The sequence below is a fragment of the Homo sapiens genome, chromosome 20, assembly GCF_000001405.40.
Source record: "Homo sapiens chromosome 20, GRCh38.p14 Primary Assembly".
Classification (NCBI taxonomy): domain Eukaryota; kingdom Metazoa; phylum Chordata; class Mammalia; order Primates; family Hominidae; genus Homo; species Homo sapiens.
Window position 1 is genome coordinate 57830827 of NC_000020.11, and position 7995 is coordinate 57838821.

At 54.4% G+C, this 7995-nt stretch overlaps 2 annotated features.

Annotated features, from left to right (window-relative positions):
* Positions 4370-5031: an enhancer, noted in NCBI's record as "H3K4me1 hESC enhancer chr20:56410252-56410913 (GRCh37/hg19 assembly coordinates)". NCBI's record gives its function as "activates a minimal SCP1, AML or CMV promoter by ChIP-STARR-seq in primed H9 embryonic stem cells {active_cell/tissue: H9 hESC(primed)}" and the evidence as "EXISTENCE:reporter gene assay evidence [ECO:0000049][PMID:30033119]".
* Positions 5032-5692: an enhancer, noted in NCBI's record as "H3K4me1 hESC enhancer chr20:56410914-56411574 (GRCh37/hg19 assembly coordinates)". NCBI's record gives its function as "activates a minimal SCP1, AML or CMV promoter by ChIP-STARR-seq in naive H9 embryonic stem cells {active_cell/tissue: H9 hESC(naive)}" and the evidence as "EXISTENCE:reporter gene assay evidence [ECO:0000049][PMID:30033119]".

Below are 7995 nucleotides of genomic sequence, written 5' to 3' on the forward strand. Positions count from 1 at the left end.
CTCACCTGGAAACCCTGACAGACACCCTATTTCCACGTAGGGTTCCTTATGAGGCACTGGGGGTTCAGATGTAAACATGTTTGAGGGACACAGTTCAACCCATAACAGGAAGGGACAGATGCCTTAAATGGCTGCAGGAAAGATGGCATGAGAGTTGTGGAGGGCACAAAACCCTGTGCCTGCACACAGTAGGTGCTCACTCCAGACAAGCGAGTGTGGTTCAAAATCACACTGGGCTGGAAGAGGGAGGGATGCCCTATTCTGAGTGTGGGTTTTGGTACCAGGCAACTGTGGGTTTGAACCCAAGCTGTGTGACCCTGGGCAGCTTCCCCAACCTTTCTCAGCTGGTTTTCTCGCCTGTGAATCTAACCTAACCTGTAAGACGGCAGTGAGGGCGAGATCTGTATCGGGTGAAAGCTCGTCGAAGGCACTGAATTCTTAAACCATCCTAGGCCTCAGTTTCCACAACTGTCAAAGAAGGATGGGGATTTTGAAGTCTGGACAGATGCTGCAAGAGCCCAGAAGGAGATCAATGATGAGGAGCTCTGAACCCAGAAGCCATGGCAGTCTGGGCTGCACTGACTAAGCTGTGTACTCCCTAGGGAGGGCGGATGGCCGGCTCCCACCACCCCAGCCCAGCTGAGGAGCAGCTGGCCTTGCAGTGGGCTCCTTGGATCCATGTCACTTTTGTGGGTCACCTGGACAGCCCGGCACAGGGGCCTTTGGTGTGGGAGTTCCTCAGAGCATGAATTTTCACCTCCTGTATACACTGGGGTTTTCTCAGCCGGTGAGACGGTGGGAGCCCCAGGGTTCCCCTCGGCCCCAAAGATTCTCAACCTGATTCAGGGGAGAAGGCTGGCACCCCTGGGGGTGCAAGATGGCCCCAGTCCTGCCCAGGGGCTAATTCCCTGTGGGAGACCTGAAAAGGCTCTGGGACAACAGTGCCACTTAATTTTAGCTTGACGATTGGCCTCTGGACGAGATGTCAGCACAGGGAACTATTTATAGCAATTCCTGCCCCTCTATGGTTGCTCTGCCTGTGTGGGTTGGATTGAATTTTGCTTAATGGCCAGATGGATTCAGACAAGCAGATTTTTAGTCCAAACTATGTCAAATGGCCATTTAGACGACTTTCCCTCTTCAATCATTCATTGCATTGTTCAATGAATCTTTCTAGGGCAATGACAATGTGCCAGGCAGTGTCTGGGCACCGTGGAGACAGGAGCAAAAGAAGTAGGCCAGCCCCATTCCCACACAGCTCACCCTCGATGGGATTGAGCAATTGACCACTGGCAAAGCACCTACTGTGTGCCAGGCAGTATTTTAGGCAGTCTTCCCTGGGAGACAGCTGGGAACAGGACAGACCAGTCCCTGTCCTTGCATAACTCTCAGTCTATTCAGCCATTGGAATTAATAAACTCTGACACAGCACCTACTATGTGCAGTGGTGATGGTAGAGGGAGCGCGGGGCTCAGCCGTGCTCAAGCTGCTCCTGGCCTCACTCACTGTGGGAGGCAAGGGAAAGGCCACCAGGTGGTGAAGCAGGAAGGAGGCTGGGGTGAGCCCAGGGACGCTGGCTCTACCGCTGGGTGTTCTGTGATGAAGGTCAAGCCCTTGGCTTCGCTGGCCTCAGTTTCCACACCTGTAATACATTTTGGGGTGCTGTGTGTCTGCAGCTCCCAAAAGATGGTGAATGGGGGTGCCTTCAAGTGATGAAAGAACAAATCATTTCTGTGTTGTTATCTTTTTTTTTCTTTCTATCTCTTTTTTTTTTTTTTTTTTTTTTGTGAGCTAGAGTCTCGCTCTGTCACCAGGTCGCTCAGGCTGGAGTGCAGTGGCTGGTCTTGGCTCACTGCAACCTCCGCCTCCCAGGTTCAAGTGATTCTTCTACCTCAGCCTCCCGAGTAGCTGGGATTACAGGTGCATGCCACCACACCCGGCTAATTTTTTGTACTTTTAGTAGAGACAGGGTTTCACCATGTAGGCCAGGCTGGTCTCAAACTCCTGACCTCAAGTGGTCCACTCACTTTGGCCTCCCAAAGTGCTGAGATTACAGGCATGAGCCACTGAGCCAGGCCTGTTATCATTTGTTTTAATATGAAACAGGAAAAAAATACACCCCTGGCATTTCAAGTCCAGTCAACAGAGTCTCCTTGAAAGGGGTATATTTAAGTTAAAGAGAGAGGGGAGTGGTGATTGAACTGAGAATATGAGGTAAATAACAGTGCCAAGGACTATGGCACAATCTCCAAGCAGGCGGTCAGTGGGGTTGGATGTGGGGCTGTAGAGGATTTGGAAGATTCAGCTGGATGTGCGGGGTCTCTGGCTGCAGGTCCCCAGTGCCCCCCTGTGACTCCTATTGGTGAGGAGGGCTGGGACATCCTGTTCAGAGTAGGTCTTGGGATGAATCCACTCCCCAGCGTGCATGTCCCTTGGAGCAGCTCTGTGCCCAGCAGGGGCTATTGTGACTGGCAGGGCCTTTGCAGGCAATTTGGGAGGTCCTTTGCAGGTGGCTGGGGACTGGGTGTCCCCGAGCTTCCTAAGGAGGCCTGTCCTTCTGTTCCTAAGGAGGCCTGTTTCTGGGCGGTGCCCTCCTGCTTGCCTCTCTACCTATCCATGTGGTCTTCAGGGGTCCCTGCAGGTACCAGCCCTGAGCTTCTCCCTTCAGGTTGGGGGTCCCTGAGGAGGGCGCTGGGCCCCAGCTGTTGAGGGAGAAGCTAGGGTGTCTCCCCTCTCCCACCAGCCTACAGAGAGGAGGGAGCCTGTCAGGAAGGAGCCCTCGCTGGGAGAAGGGGCCCTCGCTGGGAAAAGGGGTCCTCACGGGGAGAAGGAGCCCTCGTGGGGGGAAGAAGCCCTCGGTGGGAGAATGGACCCTCACTGGGAGAAGGAGCCCTCGCTGGGAGAAGGAGTCCTCGCTGGGAGAAGGGGCCCTCGCTGGGAGAAGGAGCCCTTGCTGGGAAAAGGGGCCCTCATGGGGAGAAGGAGCCCTCGTGGGGAGAAGGAGCCCTCACGGGTAGAAGGAGCCCTCGGTGGGAGAATGGACCCTCACTGGGAGAAGGGGCCCTCGCTGGGAGAAGGAGCCCTCGTGGGGAGAAGGAGCCCTCACGGGTAGAAGGAGCCCTCGGTGGGAGAAGGAGCCCTCGGTGGGAGAATGGACCCTCACTGGGAGAAGGGGCCCTCGCTGGGAGAAGGAGCCCTCGCTGGGAGAAGGGGCCCTCACGGGGAGAAGGAGCCCTTGTGGGGAGAAGGAGCCCTCACTGGGAGAAGGAGCCCTCGCTGGGAGAAGGGACCCTCACTGGGAGAAGGAACCCTTGCTGGGAAAAGGGGCCCTCACGGGGAGAAGGAGCCCTCGTGGGGAGAAGGAGCCCTCGCTGGGAGAAGGGACCCTCACTGGGAGAAGGAGCCCTCACTGGGAGAAGGAGCCCTCACGGGGAGAAGGGGCCCTCATGGGGAGAAGGAGCCCTTGCTGGGAGAAGGGACCCTCACTGGGAGAAGGAGCCCTCGCTGGGAGAAGGGAACCTCACTGGGAGAAGGAGCCCTTGCTGGGAAAAGGGGCCCTCATGGGGAGAAGGAGCCCTCGTGGGGAGAAGGAGCCCTCGGTGGGAGAAGCAGCCCTTGGTGGGAGAAGGGACCCACCAAATCGCACACATGCCATTGTTGCTCCTTCCGTGTGCCCTTCTGCAGCTTGTGAGGTCTTCAGGACAGAGTTCCACCACTTCAGCCCCACCCAGTGGAGTCTGTCCGCCCCTCTGAGCCCCCTCCGAGCTTTTCTCCTACCCCCAGTTCCATTGCCTTCCTGAGCCTGAAGTCGGGAAAGTCGCTTGGGGTTGTTGGGGGCTCAGTTTCCCCATCTGTAAAATGGGCTCGCAGCCACTTCTCCATCTCAAAGTGCTGTCGTGAGGATTGGCACCTGCCTCTGTGAGTGCCCAGCAAATTGTTGTGCTTTTTCTGAAATGGCATTAGTTTCCTAAGGCTGCCGGAACCAAAGCCCACAGCTGTGTGCTCCACAGCAAACATTGATTCTTCACACTTCTGGAGGCTGGAAGTCTGAATTCGAGGAGCTTGCAGGGCCGTACTCCCTCTGGAGGCTCTGCTGGCTGCAGGCCGCCCACCACATGTCCCGGCCTGCAATCACCTCGTCCCAGCCTCAGCCTCTGTCCTCACATGGCTTCTTCCCTCTGTTTCTCCTCTTCTTCTAAGGACACCAGTCAGATTGGATTAGGGCCTGTCCTGATTCATTATGACCTCATCTTCACTTGATTACATCTGGAATGACTCTATCTCCAAGTAACATCACCTTCTGAGGTCCAGGTGGATTAATTTTGGGGCAGACACAATTCACCCCAGGACAGTGGCAATTTTGTTTACTTGCTTCAGCGAGCCTTGTGAGGTGGGTATTATCACACCCATTTATCAGATGTGAAAACTGAGGCTGAGGGACTGAGGGCCCCAAGAGCTGCTAAGTGACAAATTCAGGACTTGTACCCAGAGCATTTTAGAACCCAGTGAGGTCAGGGAGTGCACAGGTCCTCAAATTCACACTGCCTCTCCAGCTGTACAGTCCACAAAATTGGTGGTAAACAGAAACACTGAAGAAGAAGAAGAAAAAAACAGAAAACTCAAATGGGCTCTGTGTGTTTATAACCAAAGACTTTCTCCAGAGAGTGTGGTATAAAATTTTAATATTTTAGGCAGGCAGGCAATACTTCTTGTCTAGACATTGAGAAATGTTCAGACACAGAATTATTTCCAAGCTCCAGCCAACACAGTGGCGTCCCCCGCATTCCCCCAGATGAGGGGTGTCATTTACTTTGCATTTGTGAGCAGACACCACAGGGGCCTGATTGCTGCTGGGAGGCCCGGACCTCCGCGGGTCGCAGCGTTGCCGTGGACCCCAGAGATGCCAGCGGCCGCGCTGTCTTTTCCCAGACAATTGAGCTGCTTACAAATCAATAACAACAAGGTTGACGGGGATGGGGGCTTGATCACACTGAGGTGCACACAGCTGTCAGAACGCGGTGACTGTGCACATGAGATCGTAAACTCCCTAATTAGCTTTCGAGGAGAAGGCGTGAGGGCTGAGGGTCCAGCTGGCGCTTCCTGCTTTGCTTTCTGTCTCTCTTGTCTGCCGTCTGGGAAGGTGAGCAAGCAGGCCCTCCGTTGCTCACTGTAATTGGTGATGAAGACGGGGACTGGTGCTCTAGTGCCGGATGTCTTCTGTGCTGTGTGCCCTTCAGCCGGTTCCTGTCCCTCTCTGTGCCTCAGATTCCTCATTGATACAATGAGCTCAGGCTCCCGGGGGCTTGCAGAGTTGGCAAAACTGGTCTCTTGACCCCTAACAGTTCCCATGGGACCCAGGCTGGAGACCAGCAGAGGCAAGGCTGGGAGACAGCAGAGGGCGAGGGCAGTCTTCCAGGCTCAGAAAGGCTGCTCTTGGCTCTTCCCATCCAAGGAGAGTCCCGCGTGGCCAGCACCAAGGATCTCTCCCACTTGGAGGTGAGGAAACTGAGGCTTAGAGCCAGGGCTAGGACTCTAGTCTTCCTGCCCTCGGGGGCCTCTCCTGGCTGCATCTTTGTTCTCCAGCATTTCCGGAGCACCGGCTGGGTCCCAGGCTGGGTGCTGCAGGTCCTGGTCTAGCATGGTAAAACCAACGGGACTTCCAAGCCCGAGCAGGGCAGGTGGGACCCTGCACCTTCCCTGACTAAACCTCCCTACTCATCTCGTTGTCATTAAGATTGAAGACCATTTATTGAGCAGCTACTGTATGCCAGGCACCTTTGAACACTCAAGCTGCTACGGTGGATGGTGGAGAGAAGGGTGGGTTAGTGGAGGGGAAGGTGTCAGGAACCCCGATGTCCTTGGAACAGAGCAGCCCCCACCCTCCCAGGGTGGCTGTGGACTCTTTCCTTCTCTCTTGAGCCCTCGCATGCAGTGGTGTCTGGTAGAAACATGTACTCTCCACCCGTCAAAGCAGCAGTAGCATAAATAGCATCAGGAATGTTGGAGATCTCAGGCTTTGAGGCCCAGAGTTGAGTTGCTACTTTACATGATTTAATTACCGAAAAAAACTGTGTTACTTCCCTTCCAACATAACCTTGCAGCGTCTCAGAAATGCTTGCCGAGCAAGCCTGCAGAAAAATTTGGAGGCTGGCGGGTGCTCCCCCTGCTTGTTAAGCACTCACTGTGTGCTGGGCTCTGTGCTTAGGACTGTCTGTGCACCGTCTGCTTACAGCCTTACAACAATCCTTTCAACGAGCCATACCTTTGTCCCATTCTACAGAGAAAAGGAATGAGAACTGGCAAAGCTGGTGTGGTCAACAGCAGGATGGCCTCTCAAAGATGCCCATGTCCTAAGCCTCAGAATCTGTGCTACGTTATGTTACAGGCCCAAGGGGGACTAAGGCTGCAGATGGAACTCAGGTCGCTTATCGGTCAACCCTGAGATGGGAGATTATCTGGGATTAGCAGATTGGCCCAGTGGAAACACAAGGGCCCTCAAACCTTTGTGGTTTTGGAAACACAAAGTAGAAGAGGAGGCAGGAGAATCGGCACAGAGCGATATGATGTGAGAGACGCCCGGCCAGGCTCTGAATGTGGAGGAAGGGCCACAGGGCAAGGAGCGTGGGGGCCTCTACCAGTGGGGAACATAAGATGTGAATTCTCCTCTGGAGTGTCCAGAAGGAACACAGTCTGCTCGACATCTTGATTTTAGAGACCCATTGCGGATTTCTAGACTGGCCTCTAGGTCTGCAAGATCATAAGCACGTTTTGTTTTCAGCCAGTAAGCGTGTGGTCATGTGGTTCCGCAGCTGTGGGAAGCCCACACAGCGGACTTCTCGTCTACGTCCGTGATGGGGGCTGCATCCATGCCCAACCTCAGCCACTGATTCAGGGATGGCCACGTGGACAAGGCTGGGAAATACAAAGCAATCCTTGGGCTCCGCTGGAACCAACAGGGGCGGAACGCTGTCTTTCCATCAGGGCTGCTGAGGGGATGCAGCAGGTGTTACCCTGGAGCTGCTGGGGGGTCTATTTGCGACCACGAGGTGCATGTTCATCTGAATGACAGAACTGGGTGAGAGGGAAGCGGGATGGTGACGTTGTGTGAGATTCTGGATAGACCATGCCTGAAGCCAACTGGCCTTTATGTTCCAAAAACCTGTAACTGTCCCTCTGCACTCAGGCTGCTCTGAGCTGTGCTTCTCATCACCTGCACCTGATACATTCCTGGCTGTCCCAGGATCCAAGCCTGGCTTTTGAAAGCCTGTAGGATTCGAACGTGGCCTTGCTGGTCCTTATGTACACTCTCCCTTTCAGAGTTTCAGAGCGAGAGGACAGAAAGTCAGACATCAGGGAAGCTTAGACTCATAATTGTGGAAAGGGACACTTGGAGAAGACTTTCAGTCTCTTTTTTTGAGACAGGGTCTCATACTCACTCAGGTTGAGTGCAGTCGTACAGCTCAAACGACCTCCCCAGCTCAAACGACCTTCCCTCCTCAGCCTCCCGAGGAGCTGGGACCACAGATGTGTGCCACTACATCTGGCTAATTTTTGTATTTTTTGTATAGACAGGATTTCGCTACATTGCCCAGGCTGGTCTCGAGCTCCTGGGCTCAAGCAATCTTCCTGCCTCAGCCTCCCCAAGTGCTGGGGTTACAGGTGTGAGCCACCGCACCTGGCTTTGTTTTACACTTTTTACACTGAGGTGCAGAGAGGGGAGGTAACTTGCCCAAGGTCACCCAGCTGGTAAGAGACAGTTGGAATTAAAACCTGCTTCTCAGCCTGCTCCGCCCCTCTTGGCCCTCAGCAGTCCCACAAGAAAGGGCTTCGGGTCTATAATTTCTGGTGGGTTTTTTGCTGACAGAACTCAGGAGAGACCTGAGCTTGCCCGGCCTTGTTTTTGCCACACTCATAATGCGGCCCACATTTTCTTGCGGTGGAGCTTTCAGAAGCTGGCGTTCTGACTGGGCCGCTCTCCAGCCCAGGACTCGTCTG